General features: G+C 37.9%; 1 protein-coding gene and 1 long non-coding RNA gene across 2 annotated transcripts in view; one reads left to right on the top strand and one right to left on the bottom strand.

Moving 5' to 3' along the window:
* EDN1 (endothelin 1) overlaps window positions 1-25,678 on the bottom strand; it is a 66,679-nt gene that overhangs the window by 31,747 nt on the left and 9,254 nt on the right. The window contains exons 2-3 of the mRNA NM_001416565.1: window positions 8,879-8,969; window positions 4,091-4,234 (exon numbers count right to left, since the gene is read on the bottom strand). The gene's annotated coding sequence lies outside the window, so the exon portion shown is untranslated. The remainder of the gene's footprint in view (window positions 1-4,090; window positions 4,235-8,878; window positions 8,970-25,678) is intronic.
* LOC124901260 (uncharacterized) lies at window positions 72-24,001 on the top strand. The gene is made up of 3 exons (XR_007059454.1): window positions 72-161; window positions 10,400-10,444; window positions 23,954-24,001. It is a non-coding gene; the product is annotated as an uncharacterized LOC124901260 (long non-coding RNA).

Genomic DNA, 25,678 nt, shown 5'->3' with positions numbered 1-25,678 from the left:
ACACTAGTCACTGGGTTAGACCACACCCTGATAACCCCATTTTACCTTAATTACTTCTTTAAACACCCTATCTCAAATGTAGTGGCATTCTGAGGTGCTGGGAGTTAACCCTTCAACAAATGAATTTGAGGAGGAAGAGGACACAGTTCAGCCCATAGCAGGTAGATTCTTATTTTCATTCCCTTAACAAATTCAGAAATTATTACATATCAGGCACATATCGCTTGGCATTGGACAGGTATAGTACAAAGCTGTCTACAACCTGTCAAAGCTAACAACAAGACCTCCACTTGCTGCTGGCATTTCGGAAACTTCTTCAAACCCTGATTTCATCCTTGGAGCCTGCAGCCATACTCCATCCCATATTCATCTCTGACTCTGCAATCCTTTTGCACTTAACATCAGGCTAAATGGTGTAGACCTTTATTCTCTTTTATGTGTTGGACTTGTCTCTTCAAATAAATAGAGAGGGAACAGCAAAGTGGAGGATATGGCTCATAAAAGAAATCCCCAATTAAGAAATCAAGTGACCTGTGATATCAAATTCTAGTAAAAAAGATCCATTATTAATATTATGAATTTGTGGGCAGAGAGGACTGTCTTAGTCATCTTTTGCTTTCTTCATCTCCTCCTACTGCCCAGTTCATCTTCTCTAGTTCTCCCCATCTTCTGGCTCTGAGAATATCTTCATGCCACGCCTTCTGTCTAGAGCAAACTTGTTCAACCCATGGCCCATGGGCAGCATGTGGTCCAGGATGGCTTTGAATGTGGCCCAACACAAATTCATAGACTTTCTTAAAACATTGAGTTTTTTTGCAATTTTTTTTAGCTCCTCAGCTATCGTTAGTGTTAGTGTGTTTTATGTGTGGCCCAAAACAATTCTTCCTCTTCCTATGTGGCTCAAGGAAGCCAAAAGATTGGACACCCCTGGTCTAGAGCACTCTCTCTTCAATTCTTTCCCTTCCAACCCACTTACTAGATTTAAACAAAAAATTCAAATAATATTCTCTTATATATCTGCTCCTATTATTTTTGGAAAAATGATTATTCTGTCCTTCAGAACCATTATCTGAAACCCACTTTTCCATACCTACTTTAGTCACCTATAAACACTGAAAATCAGAGAGGTTAAGAACTTTATTTCATGTCTATACAGTTATTGTAGCTAAAGATTCAAGCCAGAGTTGCTCTCTCTTAGACTCCAAGCTCCTAGTCACAACCCTTGCTACCATCTGTACTGCTTCAGGTGCCTGGATTTCTTCTCTTACTAGAGCCATTGGGATCTTGATGAGCAAAGACCTACCCATAGGAAAAATGAGAATATTCGTACTATTATGAAAGCTTACATGCCTATTAATTTTATATTAGGAATTACTCTTCATTCTTCACTCAGCAAAACTCCTTGAGTATTACAGATAAAAATAGTTGTATTGGTAGAATGAAATTTTTTTCTCAATGGAAATAATTTTAAACATTTCAGTGAGGTTCAAAATAACAATTCATGAACTCAAACAAGTTTTAGGAAAGCTAGACCTTCGTGATCTTTAGAAATCAAGACAACAGAAGTATCACTTAAAATGCAAAGGTTAGTTGACAAAGACAGTTTCCAGGAAACACATTCCTTTCTTTTTTTTAACAAGGAACCAGAAAGGATAAAGAAAATGATACTGAAATTAAGAAGCCACTCAGAAAAAGAAAACACAGGAGAGAAATGTGAGGAGCCTCAATTTTCATGAAAGATGTCCAGAATAATCCATTTAACCCTCTCTTCCACGATCTCATTGTGTTTGTGTAACTCCAGGCCAAGTATCAATAACATCCAAGTTGATTTATGGTGGTGAAAGGTTTTTCCGTGAGAACTCTGATGATGGAAGTCAATAAATGAGTATTAGGAAGATAGAAGTCTCTCTACAAACCCAAACTGGTGGGGCTAGTTTATGTCAAAGGAATGAAAAATGAGGCTGGTCTGTGAATGCCTAGTACCCTGTGTGAAAGCCAAGCTAAAAACCAGATCTTGGGTGAATTTTTATTCTCCATCAAAAATTTGCATTTGTACACCCACTTTTTGTAACAGATTCTTTTTATGCTAACTCCTCAACGAAGTTGCTTCTACTGCTTTTGAAGACTGGACAGTGTTCCCTATATTTACCCAAAATTGTACATTTAGCAGGTGAAATTTGGAAACTCAAGTGCAGCTACCTAGAAATCTGGAATGAGATCACAAGCTGGCTTAAAAGTATTTGAGATTCCCTGAATCTTCTTTGTCTGTCAGAATATTCAATACATTTTCTTTTATCTGTGTGTTCCATTTCTCAAAATTTGGGCCAATAAAATATTTAAAATGCAAATATTTTTAAGATGATAGAGCTGTCTTCACAGTTATGTGTCCTGCTCTAAAGAAAATGTGCACATTGACTCCTTATAATTACCCAGAAATAAGAAAGCACATGTAAACACTCAGCTTCCACAACACCACCCACTTTGAATTGTGCCCTAGGTTAAACATAAACATTTGGAGAACTGGGAGAGTAAAACACTGTCAAGTGGTTAATTGAATTTTTTTTTTTTTTTTTTTTAAACAGGGTTTTGCTTTTATCACCCAGACTGGAGTGCAATGGCGCAATCTCGGCTCACTGCAACCTCCCCCTCCCAGGTTTAAGCGATTCTCTTGCCTCAGCCTCCCAAGTAACTGGGATTACAGGTGCCCACAACCACGCCCGGCTAATTTTTATATTTTTAGTAGAGACAGGGTTTCACTATGTTGGTCAGGCTGGTTTCGACCTCCTAATCTCTGGTGATCCACCCGCCTTGGCCTCCCAAAGTGCTGGGATTACAGGCATGAGCTGCCGTACCCGGCCTTGAAAATTTTTATGTGTCTACTTACAAACCATAAATCATTTTTATTTCCTATTTTAGTTTGTTTACTAATTTACTCTCACTCTTCCTCGAGTCCAAAGTCAGCGCCACTCCCAGCAGATTTGTGCTTCAGCAAGGGAGTGAGATCTACTCTCTGGGAAGCCAGACCTGCATCTGGTCGACCTTGACTCAAAACTCAGCCAAGATTTCACACAGTCCCGGAAGGCTCCCACACAAGCCTCTTGCTCCCTCAAGGCAAACAACCTGGCCCAGGTTTCTTGAGCTAATACTGCATTTTCTGTCTTTTGTTGGTGTACCCCAAAGCCTCTCTCATCTATGCTTTTACAAAAAAGGAACAGATAATTCCAAATCCATCTTCCCTACCACTTCATTCCCTTCAAGGCGTTTATTCAAATTACTTAGCCATCAGGTTTTCCCAAAAATATTTGTGCATGAAGTCAACCTCAAAAATGCTGATAGGCCTATGGCAATTAGGTGTACCTGAGATAGTTGAAACAATAGTTTGTGGAGGTATCTTCCCTAGTTCATTCCGAAGTTTCATTTGAAATGCTGGGGCTGCCAGTTCTGTCCCATTTGTTCTGTTGATGCCTTTGCTCTGTACCCCTCAACTCCCAGAATTTCTCCTCCCTAGTTATCTAAGGGACTAATTCTGGCGACCCCTCTCTCCATGTCTATAAGTCTCCATTCCATTGAGAGCAGCCTGACCTTTCTGTGACACATCCTTCCCCTTTTGACCCTTCCTTTAACTGTAACCATATGTCTTCTGGAAACCCTGCTCTGCTGCCAAGGAGCTCAGAAATTTGCAATCTGTTCTTTAAATACATGCGCCGCCGCCTCATCCCAGGTGAAACCTGGATTTCCCCTGATGACGTAATTCCCCTCATAATTCTCAACGTGCATCTACTCATCTCCCACACAGCCTTTCCTCAGCACCTTAGCATTAGGGGAAGTGTTCTGTATCCCCTGTGTGAATATTCAGCCTTTATTTAATAACACCGCTTCCCTTCCTTGTCAGTTTCACATCCTTACCTATTCCCTACGCCCATTCATCCACAGCTGCCCTCTTTCTCATTGCTTGGGAGCAGCACAACCATCATTACATTAAAAAATCAAGCACCTGTTACCCATCTGGAACATGCATGCTACATAGGGTTGCCCATGTGCACAGGCACACTACAGCAATTAATTCCACCCTTGAGATTTCGGAGCGTACCTGTTTGTATCCTTCAATTTGCAGATTCCTTTGAAAGCAGACTCTGTTGGCTCTGTTGTGGACTTGCTTGAATCACATGGTTCTCTTATTATACTTCAGTTTTAGTCGCTTGAAGATAGCTACTTTTCTCTTCGAGGTGTTTCCCTGAAGCAGATTTCAAAAGTGCTCTACCAATGAATTTTAATGAATCTAGAGTACTCCACAATCTACTAACGACTCACAAATAACTGGGCACTCAAGTTACTTCCACTTTTTCACATAAACATCATTACAGTTATCATCTTTGCACACAAATCTGAATGACATTTCTGATTATTTTCTTAGAAGCAATTTCTAGAAGTGAAAAGTAGGGTCAAAGTCTTTGAATGTTTATAGCTTTTGTCATATAGTGACAACTTGCTTTCTAGGGTGGTTGTAACAATTTATACTCTACCAGCACTGTTTGAGTGTCTCACCACTCCCTCTTTTCATACAGCATTTCAACAAATCTTTGCAGAGCAAGTAGCCAAGATTGGTGCAAAAAGATCTAGGTTTATGGAACAGTGGTCTAAGTCCAGGAGATAATTTGCTAACACACCTGATATAATCAAGAGTTTGAAAAAAACAATATGATAAAGGCAATTAGTGCTATAAAAAAATAAAGGCAATCAGAAACTCCAGAGGGACAGGGGGGCAAAAGACAGTAAAAGGCATATAATCGTAAAACATTAGTGAGTTTCGCAGGGAACAATATTTATGTGGTTATATGACATCAGTGATTTGAAAGTGATATAATTACATGGGTAGAATGGGAAAAAGAGGAAGGTATGCACTGAGAGCTGAAATTTCATTTGTTACTGCAGAAATCAATATCTAAGGTATAAAACTGATAAAACAGGAAAAGCAGTTTATGTTTACCACTCACAGACATGAAGGTAAATATAAGAAGCAACAAAGTTAAGTGCTTGCTTTCAGAGAATTGAACTCAGAGTAGGGAGGAGAAGGCAAGAAGCTTGATTTTCATTATGAGATCCTTTTAACCATGAGCTCCTTACTTTTGATTTTAAAATTTTAACAGTATTCTAAAACATGGAGATTATTTGAAGTCTTCACCAATTTTTAAAAATGGTATGACCTTGAATAAGTATTATTATCATAAATCTATCAGAATGTCATATTTTTGTCACTTGTCTGTGTTCTTTACTTAACAAGAACTCTTACTAATTTTCTTATTGTTTTTTAAGAGTTTTTTATATATTTGTCTACCATGTTTGCTAAGAAATATTTTACCCAGATGTTTGTTTGCTTTCTATTTTGTTTCCGGCATGGAACAAATGTACTAAATAAATCAATTTTTACCTTTTTTTGTAGAGAAATTCTCAAGTCACCAGTATTTATTTCTATAGGGTTAATTATTTTACTTTAAAGTTTTTAGATTTATCTTGGTATCTTATTTGTTTTCTTTATTTAATAAATACCTATATAAAGCATATTTGTGTCAGGCACTACTAGAAGCTCTTATTAAATATTAACTCAACTAATGGTAGATGAAAGAGAGGAGGTTCTTGATTGTTTCTCCCTAAAGAACTAATTATCCTTAAGGTATTTACAACAAATTCCTTCCCTTCTCCATAAGTTTGTAATATATTTCTATCTATTTTGTTTGAGAGCTATCTTTCCTTTTCTTTCAGTAAAATCGTACCATTTTACTTAATGTTACTTTGTAATATAGTGTCTATCTGAAAGATTAATTTTCTTTCCATCACTTTGATTTTTAAAAATTAGCCACTTTTACCCACTTATTTCTCTAGATGATATTTTGATATTTAAGCTCTAAAATAAATTCTGCTGGAAATCTGACCAGGAGTTTGTTAAACCAACAAATTAATTAAGAAGTATTTACATCTTTACAGTGCCAATTTTTTTCACTAGTAAAAGTTCTTTCTTTTTATAATAATCTTTCTAATTATTTAAATCTTATTTTTTATTATTTAATATTATTAATTATTTAAATCTTACTTTAAATCTCTATGCTGCTAACATTTTAGGTTGCTAATGAATGCTCATTAATTCTAAAACTATTCCAGTTGATGCTTATAGGTTTCCTAGCATTATATTTGTGTCATCTGTAAATAGTATTAATTTTATGTCCTCTCCTTAAGGAATTATACTTCATTTCTATTTCATGATTTAATGCATTAGCCAGTATTTTCAGGATACTATTAAGTAAAAGGACAGTGACCATACAATTTAAAGAAATACAGAAAGGCCAAATGTTAAGAATTAATATTTAGCCAACACCATGTATTGTCAACATAAAATAAATGACAGGAATATATAATTAACCCAAAATTTATCATAATTATATTATGAATTATAGTGATCATTATAAATGTCATTAACATTTTTAGTAGTTTAATTTTTTAAATTTGATGTTATGGCTGAGGACAGGAAATTCCATGGCCCTGTTAGTCACTAGATTGCTCCTGTGGGTACCATGCTGCACACAGATGATGTTGAATGAATGCTCAGTTTCATCATGGTGTTAGGGAGCTGTCTTGTCTAGCTCTATCAAGATAGGCACTGCTGATAGAGATAGAGATGTTGTCAGTGGGCTTTCCTTTCTCTCTAGCAGTACCAAAGAAGGGAAAGACACTTTGTTTTAAACTGCTAGCCTTGAAGATTTGGTCAATGGTGATGATGCAGTTCCACTGATACAGCCTCACCAATGTAAGGTTCACACACGTTGAAAGGAGATGCTTTCCGAATACTTTCAGAATCACGCTTTGGATTTTCACCTTCACTTATACTTTGATGTCTAGTATATTTCACATTTAAATAAATCCTTTGATGAAAATATGTCCTCAAACCTTTGATCTAGAAATGTTGCGACTGAATGTAATTGGCTTTTTTTTTTTTTTTTTTTTTTGAGACATGATCTCACTCCGAAACCCAGGCTGGAATGTGGTGGTGCAATCACAGCTCACTGGCAGCCTTGACCTCCCAGGCTCAAGCCATCCTCCCTGCTCAGTCTCCTGAGTAGCTGGGATTATAGGCATGTACCGCCACACCAGCTAATTTTTTTTTTTTTAAAGATGGAGGTCTCACTATGTTGCCCAGTCTGGTCTCGAACTCCTGGCCTCAGATGATCTTCCGGCTTTGGCCTCTCGGTGCTGGGATTACAGGCATGAGCCTCCACACCCAGCCAGCTTTTCAAATAAAAGAATAAGGTCTGATTTTCCCTCTGCACCTCCGCTTGCAATTATACTAATTAGTATACACTGTCTGTATACTAATTGCAGCATTTCTTCCAAAGCAGGGTGATAGGAGTATTTTAATAGTAGTAATCGTGTCAGAATTATTTGCACTCCTCATGTGCAAATATGTCAGAATTATTTTGCACTCCTCAGTTTGATTATTACTTGAGCAGTTTGCAAAGAACAAACTACTTTCTCTGAAAAAATAGTTGGTGGGTAATACGCCCTGCTAGACTGGGACGACTGGGACTATTATCTGCAGCATACAATATTGAGGCTTTATTTTGTTCGAGCAGCCTTTTTACATGTGAGAGGGGCTTCCTTATCTTTTATAAGCATGACAAACCGGTTCCAAAACCTCTTATACTCCGTGTAGTTTGTCTTCAATCAAAGAGTAAGAAATGAAGAGTCCTGTAATCTTTCTTAAGATAGGTAATTCTGTTAAAATACACTGTGTCATAATTATTTTCCAAACACAACTGGAAACTATGATTAAAATAGTGTATATTTACAATTCCTAAATCACTTGAGGCCTTCATCATGTGTACTCATTGTTGATTGTAATTGTCTTTACTGATTTTCCATTCTACAGATATTTCCACAGCCAGACTCATTATTTTGTTAGCTTGTATCCCCAAAATCCCTCATTAAGCATGTAAAAGAGAAATCTAGCAAATTCAGCATAAACTCACCATGAATCCTATTAAATTTAAAGGACTTCTGGTGGGTCCTGCTTGTCCCAACAACTGATACACAAGATGCAGAAAGGGCACATTTAGTTTGTCAATAACTTTTTGTGCCCAGCAGAATGGAATTTAGGAAATTTTTCTAGTAAAATGCATACAAAGAAGAGATTTGTACCTAGGCATCACAGACTGTGAAAATCTGAATACTCCTTCATCTTCAACTGCTTCAATTGTCAGTTTGCATAAATCATTTCAACAGGCTTTTAAATATATCTGGCCTTGGAGACTCAGATATATAGGATTATTTTCTTAGAGTAAGTTTGTTAAGTCTGCTATTTTGAAATTAGATTAGCAACATCAAATGTGTTTTTGGTTCCTCATTTTTCTCTTACTCTTTTTCATACTCTTCATTATATCGATATGTCATTGAGATTGTTGTACATGATTTTAGTTTTACCTCCTCATGAAAATTTGAGGTGATAATGTGCTATTCTGCCTTTAATACGTCTGTACAGAATGTGAAGAATTTCCAAGCAGGACCATTACTCCTGAAATAGTCACAGCTTAAGTAAAGTTCATTAACTGCAAATTAAATATGGTTCTTAATGATTATTTTATTTGACAATGAGTACTAGTATGCAAACAATTCTACAAAGATTACTACTACTATACAATCTAATTCTATCCTTCTATTATATTGTTATTAATGTTTTTTATAAACCTTGGATGGTTCAAAATGGATATTGTTGTGTCACAGACCCAAGAAAACCTCAGCCAGCATCACTTGGTGCATGCGGGAGCTCATAGGGAGAAAGTCTGCAGTTTGGTTTCCATGCTTTTGGCCTCTTGGGAAGACACATGCTTACCTGGGTCACAGACGGATGCACCTTGGGACTGTGCTCCAGCAAAGGGACCCCAGGCCTTGTTGCTCTCTCTTGTTATTAGGTTGATGGCTCACTGTGGAGGGTAGAGGTGGGCAGGTGAGGAAAAACATTTTAAACATTTTGAGTTCAGGTGCCTAATGGTCTTTTTTGGGTTTTAGGGGGCGGGGGGTCTTTTGTTTGTTTTGCGGTTTTGTTTTGTTTGACAAGATCTCACTCTGTTGCCCACGCTGGAGCGCAGTGGTGCAATCATAGCTCACTGTAGCCTCGGCCTCCTGGGCTCAAGCAATCCTCCCGCCTCAGCCTCCCAAGTAGCTGGGACTGTAGACGTGCACCACCATGTCTGGCTATTTATTTTATTTTATTTTTCTGTAGAGATGGGACTCTCGCTTTGTTGCCTAAGCTGGTCTCAAACTCCTGAGCTAAAATGATCCTCCTGCCTTGGGCTCTCAAAATGCTGGGATTACAAGCGTGAGCTACTGCACTGGCCAAGCCGTCTTGTTTCCTGTGCCAGCTTTTTAGAGGAGTTACAGTGGGTTACAGTGGTTCCTAAGCACCTTATCCAGGATGAATAAGAAAAGTTGAAACTAGAAGCAGATCCCTCTTTATTGTGTACCTTGTAACAACCTGGCTTATTTGTGAGACATTCCAACATATCTTTAGAGAGATTTACTGTCCTCTTTAAAGTTATTTAGCAAACACACTCTCTCTCAATATTTGTTTTAGACTAAGTCATAAGAAATAGCTGATATTCAATTGTTTTGACCTATAAAAATGAAGATGTTATAGGGCTTAGACTATTGGTCTGTCAGTTAATATTGGAACTCCCAATCATTAATGATTACATGTGATGGTAACCTAAATAGTCACATGATCCTTGACTAGGAACTATCTCAGGGACGCTAGAAAGCCAGTTGAAGCAGACATTTGTCTCTTCAGACTTCCACAGCCAAAATCAAAGCAAAAACACATTGGCAGACTTTGGTCAAATACAAGCACAAACTGATGTTCAGAGCATTCTTATAAATAGTCATGGTGATATTAGACTTCCTGGTCTTGTTCCTGCTTTTAATGAGAGAGAGTACCTCTACTCTTTAGCCATCAGATATCACTGACAATTTGAATAAATGCCATTTGTGTTTAAGTTTTCTAAGAATTGTTATTCCAAATGGCATTGAAATGACTTTATGAGCTTTATAATTTTTTTCTTTTTAGATCCATTGATGTAGTATGCTAACCTATTTCTCTCTGATTGAGCTATTCTTGAATTCCAGGAATAACCCTACTTGGATGTGGTGGATAATTTATGAAGGTGCTATTGTTTTGAAATTGTAATTCTTTTAAGGATTTCTGCAGTTGTATTCAAAAATAAGATTACTATTCAATTCAAGAGTTTTGTGTTTGTTATTTATTTGGCTTTTTGAAACAGAATCATTTCATCTTCATAAAATGAATTTGATAATTTCTTTCATCTTGTTTTATCCCACGGAACAATTTATCTGAAAGAAATTACCTGCTTCTTGAAAATGTGAAAGCTGTAAAGTTGCCCAGGTTAGTATCCATTTTTTGAAGTAATTATTGAGTACTTTTTCAAATTCTTTCTGAGTTACTGGAGATTTCAGATTTCTTAATTATTAAGACAATTTTGATCATTTATGTTTAGATAGGAAATTTGCCATTTTAAAAATTATTCTAAATCATAAGCATAATTTGTAATATCCTTGATATCTGTTGTCCTTTCTCATAAATTTCTCATAAATTTTTCAATTGAGTGCATACAACTTCTCTTGATTATATATAAAATGCTACAGATTTATGCACTTTATTATGTGCATGTTTTCTTTCAAAGAAATACAATTTTTCTACTTTCTGATTTATTTTCTTTTAATCTTGGTCAAATCCTTCTGATGATTTCTTTTGGCTTATTTTTCTCTTTTCCAAATTCTTAGGTTGCATTCTTACTTCTTTTTAAATAATATTTCTCATTTAATATTAAAACCCCTTCTGGATAGATCTTTGTCCTGGGGATATGGTCCACAGCTTTATGGGGTTTACAATCTGGTGTGGACTCCAGACATATCAACAGGCTGTTATAATCAAGTGGAAAGGTACTATGATAGGGGAAGTTCAAGGTTCTATTGGAACACTCAGAATAGGAACTCGACCAGATTTGGCAGAGTGGAGAGTGAGGAAAGGTTTACAAGGAGAAGTGGTGTCTAAACTCAATAGGAATTGGCCAGGCAAAGGGAGACGGAAGAAGAGCGGGTACCAGGCAGAGGGAAACACCCTCAAGGTGAGAAAGCGGCTGACCCAGTATTTGGGAATTGCAAATGCTCACGTGGCTGGATATAAAAAGCAACAAATGAGATACCAGCCTGGAGAGATAATCAACAGTTAAACTACAGAGGGTGACATTAAGGAGTTCTGGACAATGGGATGCCAAAGGTGTTTTACACAGAATAATGTTATAATCAGATGGGTAGACTGAAAGATAGTTTGGAGCTCCCCATGGATAGTAGATTTGATGAAAACAAGCAGGAGGCAAGGGAACCAGTTAGAGGGTTGAGGTAGAAGGCCAGGTAAGAGATGATGGTGTTCTAAATGAGCAAAATGTCAGAAAGCACAAAGGGAAGGAGATGGATTGAGATGTATTTAGGAGGTAGAAAAACAAAACGTCACGGGCGGTAGATTGGGTGTGCGCAGGGACAGAGGAGTAAAGAATGATGCCCAGGTTTTTGGCCTGGCTTTGGGGGCAGTAGGACAATACCCTCACTTAGAGAGGCAAGAGCAGAAACTGAGTCAGATGAAGAATAAGAAGATGGACTTTGAATGTGTTGACTTTTATTATTAGTAGTAGTAGTATGAGTTATTCTTTTTGTCCTATTTAATGCTGTTCCCTTTGACTTCTATTTTGTCTAAGCAATAATTTTTCTACCCTACATTTTGTGTGTGCACATGTGTGTGTAAATTCCTGGAAATTAAAGTCTTTTCTTCCTCTTCTACATAAGCTAAAATATTTATCCCTTTTTCACTCACTTTTTCTATCCTTTTATATCCATATGCTAGTTTTTGCTATTAAGACTTGAGGTATTATGTGATTTCATACTATGCATTTTTTGTATCTTGTTTATTTTCTGATTCTCCTGTAGAATATAGGCTTTATAAAGGCAGACTTTGCATTCTGCTTAATTTTTGTCTGTTTAATTTACTGTTGTAATCTCATTGACTAGAATGCTGTCTAGCATATAGGAGGGGGTCTGATAAATATTACTGAAAAAGTGATTATTTTTTCATTATGTATCTTCTCTCTCCCTTTTTTGACAGTTGCATGCATCTTTCAAATTGCTAATTTCATTGCTCATTGGGAGTCTGTTTCTAACTCAATTTAAGCTCTTCATTTTATGAAAATCTTGGCAGGCTATAGAATGTGTTCAAGCATTTTTTCCTTTGAGTGTGTGGGGTTATATTTTATGGTCCTCGCCACAAAGAATAAACATAGATTATAGTTTGGTCACAAACTTTTCCCCTATAATTCTGTTAGTTGCTTCATTGTCTTTGGCATGTAGAGTTTTAAAGAACTCCTCTGAGGTTAGTTGGATTTCAGTTTCTTCATAGGTGATTTCCTCTACCTCTCCTCTTCCTCTTCTTCTTTTTCTTCTTTTTCAATACAGGTTGGATATTTTTATCTTTATCTTCTAACTTTATAATTACTTGTTCCTCAAGGACAAATTTATTCATCTTTGTATACCTAGTATCTTGCAGAGCACGTGGCTTATAGTGAGTAGGGAGTGAACACTGCATGAATACACACATGAAAAAAAAGACATAAATGAAGTTCATGCAAACTTAACTATTCTTTCTCTACTTTTCTGTCAATCCCAAATTTAACTGGCATTGGTGTGGCTTAAGAGAAGTCAGGCCCCCACCTTGCGTTCCTGCAGAATTATCAAGTCCTGAAAGTTCTGGAGAGCCAACGTGAACATGCAGGATGCTTCACCACTATTGGCATCCAACCCAAATTGAACCCTTCTTTCAATATCTTTATTATCTAGCAAGCTGCAGAACCCTACTTCATAATGCTCAATTCTTTTTATATTGGACAGTTAACATGGCAAGGGACAGAAATGGAACCTAAATTTTTATTTCGTTTGTGTTTTGTATGAAACAAAAGCACTGTCAAAGACACAAATCATGTATGAAATTAAAACCTCAGTTTTGTTCTTTTCTTTATCCTCTTTCCTTGACTACCTCAAAGCTGGTTTCTGCAAGTAGCAACAGAGTCCTATTAGAACTTCAGCAGCAATGATTTATGTTTATGTAATATACCAAGAACTCTTACATTAGACCCAGATTTTAGTAAATGAAATGGAGAACAAAGCAAATTGAATCCAAGTCCAGCAATATCTAAAAGGTATATCGATTTGGCCTAATATAAATGCAGAAACCTAAAAGGATGCTGTTAATTACATCCTTACACATACACATTTATACAAAAGTGCTATCAAGCAAAAGGAACTTGCTGCCCAATGTTCTAGAATCCAATAATATAACACCAAGTTTTTGAGAAAGAAAAGCTATTTATTGCAAGTTGACTTACAAGGAGATATGAGTCAAGCTCAGATCCATCTCTCTGTGCTGGTTTTAAGGCAATACTTTTACTAGAAAAGGTTTAAGAGGGTGGATTCTGAGATTAGCAGGTAATTGGTGGGAGGAAAGGAGAGGTCTGAAAGACCCTCAGGCACGCACAGTCATCCCTTTGTGCTTCCTTATAGGTCCCATGTGCAAATTTGGGGAGGAGTTAATATAAAACGTGCAGTGGAAATCCAGGCTGTGACATCAGCAAGCTTGTTCTGTGCAAACTCCAGCTGGCCGTATCGGTTCGAAAAGATTTCAGCCAGTTTTGTTGTCTTACAAGTGGAGGGAGTTTTAGTGTTTCAGGAAGCTGTTTCTTGTTTTTAATCTGACATCCTGCAAACCCAAGAATTTATATGAGTTATTGGTTTCTTTAACTTTTGGGGCACGTTTCACAAGTAAATATAAAATGCACTTCTATCAGGGTCACCTAAGAGTGTGCTCATTTTAGACACTTGTAATGTCTTCTTGGAAATTTAGGAGACAGAAATAGCAAGTATTCCTTCTTGAATGACACCTCAAGTTTGATGAGATATCATTCACATTGATTCACGTTAAATAGTGTGCCAACTGGCTTTACTTGCTTTATTGATTTTTAGCAAGATCTATGTCACTTATTGCTTTCATTGTGTAAGTCTTTCCAATATTCCAGCTAAAGAGTTGTCTACCATTAATCTCTTCATTCTGTTAAACAGTAAAATAACTTATTAGTTAATTAGCTTTTTGGGGTATGGCTTAAGTTATCTTTGGTCTTTTGCTTTATTTGGATTTTAATATCCTTTCAGTTATGAATGAGTGTTGTGATATATCCTTTATCAGTATCCCTAGGTACAGCAGCTAAGGTGGTATCTCCTCTAATAGTCCTTTATTTTATACTTGCCATAATTTTAGAGGCAATTTCCTTAGCAAACCTTTCAGTCTCAGGAAGCATGGCATCATCTGTGTTGCATCAGTTAAGCAGAAATGACTTGTTGGATTTGATTATGCATTTGAATAGTATTAGAGGCAATTAATGTGTGGATAACCTCCAGTTGTTATATACAAAGATGCCAAGAGGCACTCAAAATTTGGGCTTAGGGAGTCCTTGACTTACCCAACAAAGAGAGTAATTGATTTTGTTATTTAACTCCCATCTCCTAAAGGGATATCTTTTGAAAGAAACCTTTAAAAGGAATGCTATTTTTTTTCTTAAAAGTGTATTTTTATGGTGCGATAAAAATTGTAGACAAGGAGAGTTAATGTGCTCCTAATTGCCAAATTTTAAATTTCAAATCTTTTTTCCTTTATAAACAAGTTACAAAGTTTGCTCAGATATAGGCATGAACAGGCATTTCCCCAGATTATGCAACATGGAATTTTTTCAAAACTCAATCTTACACAGAATTTCTCCCACAAAGCATAACAAACTCTTAGCAATCCTGAAAATTTCTACTCATTGATAGTGATAAGAAGACAAGAAATTTTGAATAATATTGGCAAATAATTGAAATAAATGGATTCTGAAGATACCTTCTTCAAGGCAATTATCCTGCAAAACCTTTAGCTATTCTTACCAGTGGCAACAGTGAAAGATAAAGAATTTATTGACAGAGTATCAATTCCATGGTCAAGTCTAACTAAAACAGAAAAAACAAAGGACAAATCATCAAAATACAAAAAAGTGCATCTTTTTAATCTAACTTAGGCCATTAACCACAAATATGACATCATATATTTTCCAGCAGTCAGTGAACACTTTTTTGTAACTCTGTAAATTTGATTTATCTTGTATGCTTCTGAGGGATCAGGTTACATAAGAGTGCATGGGTCAGGAATATTTTTCTTAAAGTCAAAAATGCTCTTGAATCTTAATTTTACTTTATTATAACCCCTTACATAATCCACATACATATGCGTGTGTGTATATGTACATTTCCACATATGCCAAAAGTGTTCAAAAAGTTGTTTCAAATAGAAGTTTTAACTTCCCCTTGATGCCAGGGAATTTGCTTGTTTCACTCACAGGTGAGCGTGGTTCTGGCAGTCTCTGGTGTCTGGAGAGAAAAAGGTAGGATCTAAACAACTTCCAACCAACCCTGAGGGGGTCAGAGAGGTATAATCAGCAGTAGGACTGTCGTAAATCACAATGAAGTAAATGATAACACACCCATAGGCTTACCATGCCTTGCAAATAAGGACTCTGGCTTTGCCAGCTCTTACCAAACTCGTTAATGCCTTTCCTTCACTCCAGGATGTACACAGCCATAAAATGATGAAATGAACCTTCCTTATCATATCCTATAGCACTTGTTTGCCCCAGGTGAGCAGCTATTTACAATGGAGCTGTGTTGCTGGGCTCAGATCACCCTTGCTTTCTCTCTGGCTCTGACACCATAAACTTTGTCTTGTCTCAATGCATAGCATCCTAGATCCCCTAAGTAGGGATGTATCATTTTATATTACTGGAAGACATTTGCCTTACATCTCTGAAGATCTACTTTTCAGAAATCAACCAATCAATATTTATTAAGCACATATTCATGTCAAGTACTTCCTGCTTAAGTCATTTTACAATCCATATAATGTAGTTCTTCAAAGCATGAGATTTTGAACAATTTTTAGAGAGGAATCCCATAGTATTGCAAAACAAAGCAACAGTTGAATCTCACGTATTTTATTCATGGAGAAAAACTAAATGTCTCATCTTTCCATCTGACACACAGTATTCTAGATCCTTGCTACTCCAAGTACAGTTCATGGACCAGCAGCATTGATATGAGCTGAAACTTGTTAGAAATACAAAATCTGAGGCTCACCCGAAAACTCACTGGCTCTTAACAAGCTCTTCAGATGATTCATAGAAACACTAAAGTTTAAAAATGAATGTGATAGATTAACTTTGACTCATTTGTGTCTAACTTCTTCAACATTTGTGCTAAATAATTAGAAGATCATGGCTCCAAACTTGCAAAAATTAGAGGTTGAGGATCAAACCCAAAATTGCCAAACTCAGCCTTCACACTTGTTCTATCATCACATTGAATATACAGTTTTTTTCACTGTCCCAAATAATCATTTCCCTTTGCACGTATGCTATAATATCACTTAATATACCCAACTAGCAACAGTGGTGGTGTAAGAAAAATCAATGTATCCAAACTAACTTTAGAAACCTTGTTTTGTTAAAACCTGATGCAGAATGTCACCAGCCTTAATCACATGGTTTGCAAAAAGTCCACAAGCTAATTGACATAACCTACACCCTTTCACTCTCCTGAAGCTTAGTGTAATGTATCAAAATTATCTCAGGCAAGCCAGGTAAAAGAGTTGCTCATTGCAATCTTTGACTTGTCATTCAGTGGAGTGTGGCTATTCTTGTCTCCTCTCTTCCATCATGCTTAGTTCACAAGGATATTTAGACATATACATTCAGTCTGCTCATAGACTTCAATGTTCTTTGCATATAGGAGAATGTCAGAATCATGAATTTCAGGATAGCTACCCAGAAATGAGACAGAGGAGGTGAGGGTTGTATTAGTCAGCTTGGCCTGCCATAATAAATACCATAGGCTGGGTAGCTTAAGGCACAGACATTTATTTTCACACAGTTCTGGAAGCTAGAAGCTAGAAGTTTCAGACCAAGGTGGCCGATTCAGTTCCTGGTAAGAGCTCTCTCTTCATGGCTTGCAGACAGCCTCCTTCTTGCTCCATGTCAAGGCTGTGTATTAGAATTAATTGTTCTGCCACTATGCTTTTCCTATCTCTTTTCCTCCTTTTGTATAATCTTTTGCCTTTTCTTTCCCTCGATCTTGTTGTTTCTAGCTTTACTGTTCTCAGTTTAGACTTGTGAGGAATATCCATTGATATTTCCTTTGTGGAGCAGAAGACAAGAGTGGAGGGAGAAAGAGAGATCTAGTATCTCCTTTTCTTCTTATAAGGACACCAGCCTCATTGGATTAAGACCCTAACCTTATGACTTTATTTATCCTTTAACATCTCCTCACAGACTCTGTCTCCAAATACAGAGGCTAGGGTCCCAACACATGAATTTTAGGGGGATCTGTCTCAGTCTATAAGAAGGATGTAAATAGAAATCATCCATTAGAGCTGCGTGTGGTTGCTGACACCTGTAATCCCAGCACTTTGGGAGGCAAAAGCAGGTGGATCACCTGAGGTCAGGAGATTGAGACCAGCGTGGCCAACATGGTGAAATCCCATCTCTACTAAAAATACAAAAATTAGCCCGGCGTGGTGGCGCATGTCTGTAATCCCAGCTACTTAGGAGATTGAGGCATGAGAATCGCTTGAACCCAGGAGACAGAGTTTGCAGTGAGCTGAGATCACGCCACTGCACTCCAGCCTGGGTGAAGGAGTGAGACTGTCTCCAAAAAAAAAAAAAAAAAAAAAGAAAGAAAGAAAAAAAAAAAGAAATCATCCTTTAGAATACTTCTAAATTCTAAATGTCTTTCCTTTGCCAAATACTGGTATCTTCCATTGTCTCTTGTTTGATCTGGTCTAGAACTCCCTTGAAATTTCCGAGACCAGCAGGATTCTCAATGCCATCATCTGTATCATTCCATGTTATACAGAAACATGTTACTCATTTATAAGACCAGGGCTTCAAGGTACCCACATTCACCCTCCAGCACCAACATTTACACACCAAGGTTCACTTAGCGCAAACTTCTAGTTAGTGGGTCAGATCCACACAGGAATTGGAATCACAGAAACCAAGTAGATGCTGTGGCCTGGAAAGAGATCCCCAGCCACCTGTGGCATGGCAGGAGCCAGCCTGTTTACACAGCCGACATGACAAGACACAACCCAAGGCCTAGAGCACTGCAGGCTAGTAGCATCATCTATGAAAAATGTCATAAAAACATGTGTGTAGTGATTTCATAGTTTACAAAATATTTCCAAATATAGTCATCAATTCAACAAATGTTTATTGGGCACCTTCTATGCACTAGCTGGTGTTCTAGGTACTGTAATGAAAGTAAGTACATATGTTCAATAGTGCTACATAATAACAATTGATTCTTACAAGGGTCTCAAAAAGCAATCAATATACAGATTATTATCTCCAGTTTGAGATGGAAAACTGAGGTGGAGATAGGTTAGTGATGTGACTGGACTAACGGATGAGAGTGTTACTGGGACTTAGGCCTTCTGGCCTATGATCCAGGGTTCTTTCCTCTCCAAGAGTTTACATCACTTTTCATCCCAAAGGCTCACAAGTCTAAACTGAGAACAATAAAGCTAGAAACAACAAGATCGAGGGAGAAAAAAAAAGGCAAACGATTATACAAAAGGAGGAAAAGAGAAAGGAAGAGCAGATAGTGGCAGAACAATTAATTCTAATACACAGCCTTGACATTTACACTAACCCCAAGCAGCAGGGTTACAGATACTGCTTGTGTGTGCACGCCCAGGATCTTGCCAGTGGCTCTCAGGAGAGGGACTTTTGAACTGATTGATATTCTTGGCACAGAAAGACAATGTCATTGCAACTCCTAGGCAAATTGCTGTCTGGGAAAATGGTTTTTCACCCAGGCAAGTTTTCTCAAATGTTAAGAAGTGATTGCCTCTGAGCTATGTTAAGAAGTGATTGCATCTGAGCTGCATGTGGTCTTGTTATCTCTTGGGCCCTAAGAGGCGGGCTGTGGAAGGAAGCCTCTCAGATGCTGCCCCTTGCCCACCAGGTGGCTTGAGTCAGGCAAACCACTCAGAAACACTTCCCTGCACCTTCCATTTAAATCGTGTGCTACAATCTAAAGGGCAGAGGAGGACATGATGGAAATTATTAAAGGAAGAGGCTGAGAGCATTTTCAAGAGCCATATGAGTAGGAAGAGGGAGGAAAGCAGCTGTTCTTCTCTACACACCATAGAGGTATATGCAATTTCTTTAAGGATCTTCTCTGCCTTTGTGGGGTAAAATATGGGTCATGTAAATACAACATTGTTATGGCAATTACTCACTGACGACACACAGAGGAGATTCTGTTACCTATAAACAGCTAGTAAATATGGGCATGACATTTTAAACAGTTTTCTGCTTTAACAAGACAAGAGGATGATACTTCCCATCTCTTTAGCTGATTGTCCCTCCCCACCCACAGCCTCTTTCCCTTCAACACTTTCTGCCTAAATCTCCAAATAATCACCCCACTCACTCACACCAGGCCAGTGGCTGGCAGGCTCCTTGGCCAAGTTTACTATCTGGTTCCAAAGGGGAAGGAAAAATGCATTTGTTCTTTCAGAATGAGAGCTCCCAGAACATCAGGGGTGGAGGGCTTGGTCATCTGAGGGTGTTTCTATAATCTGGAATCCTAAATTTAGCAAGGGACATAGCCCAGGCTAAGAGAATGTCTTCCTTCCTATGAACTTCCACCCATCAGCAGAAGTGGAAGCTGGAAAAGCTCACAGAGGTCACTCTTTCCCCCCAGGTTTTCAGTTACTTGGAACACTCCACTTTAGGGATTTCCAAAGTCACTGGGCTCATTGGAATATTCTCTTTTTATTGACATGAAACGTGTTTGCTGAGTCTGGCTGGCCAAGTGATTCCACAGGGTGAAAAAGAAAAGGCATTGAAATATTCATCAGGAGAGCTACCCAGTTCCACCGCCAGTTTCCTAGGCAATGGTGGGTGAATCTAGTCATTTTTTTCTCAGTTTCCTCATCTCTAAAACAGAGATGATATCAAGTCCTATGTACCCATATCACAGAGACATGTTAAAATAAAATAATACGTGATAAATGTTTAGGAAAAAAGCTGCTGAAAATGCATTCAAAGTGGAGTTTGTAGCCACTTATTATAATTATTGCCACTTCTTACATTCTGAAATATTTTCAGGGTAGAATTTTTTAAAAGACATTTTGTGACTTCTTTACACTAATAATTATGGGTGATATTGATAAGACAGTTCTCGTACATTGATCTTAAACTCAGTTATCACAATCTTTTGTAACATTTTGCTCTTGGCTTATTTGTTCCTGATAGGGTAGAAGTTGCAGGAAAAGTTGATTAATTAAAAGCCATATTGTTGTAAATTTCATCTGTGTGGGGTCAATGAGTCTTGTAATTTAATGTTAGAATACCCTAGAGCAGCGGCTCTCAAAGTGTGGTCTGTGGACCCCTGGGCTTCTCTAAGATCCTTTTGCAGGAGCATAAGATCAAAACTATTTTTTAAATAATATTAAGACGTTATTTGCCTTCTTTACCATGTTGACATTTGTAGTAATTGTGAGCATGAAGCACTTACAGTATACTCTAATACTTACACACTTGCTATGAGTTGTAGGCTGAAATAGCCTATTTTTGCATGGAAGCATTTTTTCCCTAAAAGACAACTGACTGCAAACTATTGTTATTCAGCCTTGGCTATTTGACAAACTTTTTCTTGAGACTAAATAGAGAGCCTGTCACTTCAAGGAAAATAACAAACATTATTCGTTGCTGAAAATAACATTTGAACCTTCAAGCAAAACTTTGAATTTTGGTAAACTTGTACCTGCTTGTGTAAACCAGACAGCTTCCCAATGCCTCAAAGACTTTTCTAATGAGATCAGTGATAGTAACAAATGTGATTTTTCAAAATATTGTATAGCCAACATTTGAAAGGTCAAATATTCACTCAATGAATTAATATTTTCCAAATGATTGATGCATTACCTGGCAAAATCATGCATGGGCAAAAGATCCATAGGAAAATATAATTAATTTTATTAAAATTAGTTAATTTATTTAATTTGTATTGAGTTTATTATTGCTTTAAACAAATAAATATTTTAAATGTTTTTAAAATATTTCTTTGATATAGTAAATATATTCTTTGATATAGTAAATGTAACCCACACAAATGAAAGCTTCCTGGGATCCTCAATACTTTTTAGAGGATAAATGAATTCTGAGAACAAAATCTATCAGAATGGCTGTGCTACAAGTCTTAACTTATAGTCTGCAGTGAGATAACATCTCTAATATAAAAAAAGAGAAAGTTTCCATCACGAGTAACTAAATACTTTCTCAATTGACAAATAAAAAAAGAATATTTGTATAAATTAGGTTATATCCAACATAAGCTTTTCTAAAGTAATTTTATTTATTTTCAAATCAGAATGTTATATGTTAGTGAATTAAATTCGAATCACTATGGTACAGTTTACTCATCCACATGACAAATACATTAATTTCTTGCTAACTATAGGCTTTTGGGGATATAACTATAGATGAAATGTAATCTGCCTTCAAGTAGCTCATAGTTTATAAAACCATCAGAAAAGGAAATTCTTCTCACATTCATTTTATGTATGTATGTATTAATTCAGCATTCATGTATTTGTTTTGTCCCCTCTGAGCCAGGCACCAGTATAGACATTGGGTTGAAAGACACAGGACTTGTTAACCATGCTTGGAACTCACAGTCCTGAGTACAGATAGGAATACAGTTGACCCTTGAATAACATGGGTTGAACTGTGCAGATCCACTTGCACAAGGATTTTCATTAATAATAGTTACCCCCAGTGTGCCTGCCTCTCCTGCCTCCCTCCCACCTCCTCCACCTCTTCCACCTCTGCCGCCCCTGAGACATCAAGACCAGCCCCTCCTCCTCCTCCTCTCCTCCTCCTCCTCCTCCTCTCCTCCTCCTCCTCCTCTTTACTCAATGTGAGGACATCACGGATGAAGCCCTTTAAGATGATCCACTTCCACTTACTGAATAGCAAATATATTTTCTCTTCTTTATGATTTTTTAAATAACATTTTCTTTTCTTAACTTACTTTATCATAAGAATACAGTATATAATACATATAACATACAAAATGGGTGTTAATTGGCTGTTTATGTTATCACTAAGGTTTCTGGTCAACAGCGGGTTATTACTAGTTAAGTTTTTGGGGAATCAAAAGTTATCTGTGGATTTTTGACTGCAAGGAGAGTTGGTGCCCCCATCCCTGGAGCTGCCTAAGAGTCAACTGTAATTATACAAATGAATACTCTAGCATAATTCTAAGTGCTCAGGAGGGTAGGTACAAAACTCCTTGAGTGATATCACAGAGACCTGAACCCAGCCTGGAGAACAGAAACAGCCTTCATGAGAATCATAATGGTTAATAGAGAGCATTCCAACTGGAAGAAATATTATATACAGGCCATGAGGAGGGCTGGAGAAACAGAAAGGTCAGTGTAGTCAAAGCATGTTCAGCCAAGGAGGAGCCAGAGGGACCTGGCAAGGTGAGCAGCGATCCAAAGCCACCTACCCAGGGAGCAGCAAGGCTGAGATCCAAACAAGGATCTACCTCATCCCAGTGTGTAACTAGCACCTCACTATCTCCCCTCAAAAAATAAATTACGCCACATACCATGGGATATACTTTATAAACACATTTGCATGTGCCACTCACAGCAACCTTATAAGGTAGGTCCATATAGAGACCTATTTTATAGAGGAAATGACTGAGGCACAGAGAGGTAAAATAACTTTCCCAGGGCTACACAGTCACAAAGTAGCAGAGGCAGAATTGGAGCTCAAGCAGTTGGCTTGAGAGGTCACACTCTTCAGAGGTCACTACTCACTCCACCACCTTCTAGTCCACACAATTACTGGGTGGTAGACCTGGTCCTTGCAATCAGGCGAGTCAAATCTCTCTACCACTTTTCAGCATGACCATTCTCATTCCCTGCGTTAGAAATTAGCCTAGAGAGAACTGGTTGTAAAATCACACTGACTGTTGGGCGACACCCTCAAATCCCTAGAGACTGCACACCTCCAGAAAGCCTTTGGTATCGATGGTCAAGGAATTCCCAGGCTGCTTCCTGGGTCTCACCTGAAGTGAAACAGCTTTGCAGCAAAGAGGAATATGCTGTTGAGGAAATTCTTTCAAAGCTGAATCTCTTCCTTCCTCATTCCAGATAAATTGCATTAATGCATAGCCTATTACCTAACGGGGTTATGGTTTAACTTCCTTCCCCCAAGCCTTTTATGGGAATGCAGTAAAGATGGGTGCAGCCTGCACAGCATGGGCTTGACTCTTTCAAAAGAAATTCCCACCATCACACCCTTGTTCTCCTTGGTTTATTGAGTTTAAATTTGTAGGAGGCAAGTATGTTGATGCAATTTGCAAAAGTTACTGAAGATAAACCACCTACTAGAGAATGCAAGAGACTGGAAACAATGATTGAGTCTCCAAAAAAAGTGTTACTCATAGGATCATCTTCTATGAACATGAGTAAGAGAAGAAAACCATAAGCTGGTTTCAATTCTAAATACATTTAATTTCCAAAAGCAAAGGTGAGCAATTATGTATTCCACTTACCATAGAGCAATGGGCCACCTCATCAGACAAAAACACAGACCCGTACTTTTTTTGCAAATAACTTTTATGAAGCTAGTGCTGGGCCTATAAAAACCCAGTTGTACTAATACCTCCCTCTTTTCCTCTCCTTGAGCCATCTCTCCCACCAAGATCTCCAAAGATGCCTGCTTATAAAAGTGTGTCCTTCCCAGCACTTTGGGAGGCTGAGGCGGGCAGATCACCTGAGGTCAGGAGTTCAAGACCAGCCTGGCCAACATGGAGAAACCAAAACCCGGTCTCTACTAAAAATACAAAAATTAGCCGGGTGTGGGGTGCACACCTGTAATAACAGCTACTCAGGAGGCTGAGGCAGGAGAATCGCTTGAACCCAGGAGGCAGAGGTTGCGGTGAGCCAAGATCACACCACTGTACTCCAGCCTGAGTGACAGAGTGAGACTCCATCTCAATAAAAAAAAAAAAAAGAAAGAAAGAAAGAAAAGAAAAAAAAGTGCATCCTAAGGTTCCCACAGTGTAAATGTCTTCCAAGAGCAGTAAGGATTGGGTTCAGCTGAGAGTGACTGAAAATTCAAAATCTAAGTGGCTTTAAGGGAATAAAAATTTGCACACTCATCTGAATGTAAATGATCCAGGGCTGGCATAATGGCTCCACCATGCTTAGAAGGTCCAGTGCTTTCTACCTTGATGTTCCATCTCCCTCAGCACACAGCAGGATCAACACCAGCCATCACATCTGTGTTCCAGGCAGCAGGATGCAAAAAAGAGACAAGATAAAGCCACATGATCTCCCATTAAAGACAATTCCTGGGAGTTGTACACCACTGCTCTTTATAGTCCTTGGTTCTTTCAGGTTCACAGAACCTAAGGGATAATAGATATTGAAAGACAGCTATGTCTCCCCTTTGGCCACCCATGTATCTCAGTGTACCCTTATTTCCATGTTTGAAATGTACTCAACCCCTGTACTCCCAGATAAAGAATCCCAGAGTTCCACCAAATTCATGCATCTGGTTCTAAGTCCAGGATTTTCAGGTACTATTCCATGCTCTTTATCAGGTCTGAGTGTAACTACTCATTTTCAGGGGCCCTACAAAATAGAAATGTAAGTTACCTAATACAACACACCTACAAGTCCAATAAGAACAGGACAAACTTTATATAAACAAACATTTCTCCCACTCAGAAAAATTAAAAACTGAGAATCACATAATAGTTCCTTATCTCTAAATATTATCAGATCCCACTGGGCAGAAAGAGAAAACAAAATCATGAGAGTCAGCTGGACTCTCACCTGCTCACTGGGCAAAACTTCTTCATTCACTGCCGCCTGTGGGTTTTCTCTCCCTTTAGGAAATGTTTCCCAGCTCATAATACTCCCAAGTGCGCGCCTTTCTTAAAGCCTTCACAGCTTTCACAGCCTTCCTGCTGGCTGTCTGGGAAAGGTGGTCACCTTAGGTATTGAATGGTCAAAGGCTTTTGCAGTCTAGACTGCTGGTCTCTTTGTCAATACAAAATTTCATGGCATCTGGCCTACCTGAATTCTACCAATTCTGCCTATAAGCAATCAGAATGATGATGTCTGAACATGGATTTTATCCATAATACCTTTGCTTTTATTTTACTTTATAACCTCTGTTCCACCAAATCCTCTCTCTCACTCAACCTACACTCCTTTTATCATGCTATTCTATTTTCTTTCTTTTTCCTTTTCTGTTTTTGTTTTTTGTTTTCTGTTTTTGAGACACCCAGGCTGAAGTGCCATGTTGCAATCTCAGATCACTACAACCTCTGCCTTCTGGGCTCAAGTGATTCTCCTGCCTTAGCCTCCTGAATAGCTGGGACCACAGGCACACACCACCAT

Source organism: Homo sapiens, chromosome 6 (assembly GCF_000001405.40).
Source record: "Homo sapiens chromosome 6, GRCh38.p14 Primary Assembly".
In the NCBI taxonomy this organism is placed as follows: domain Eukaryota; kingdom Metazoa; phylum Chordata; class Mammalia; order Primates; family Hominidae; genus Homo; species Homo sapiens.
The sequence above is the reverse complement of the archived record's forward strand: the minus strand, read 5'-3'. Positions and strand labels throughout refer to the sequence as shown.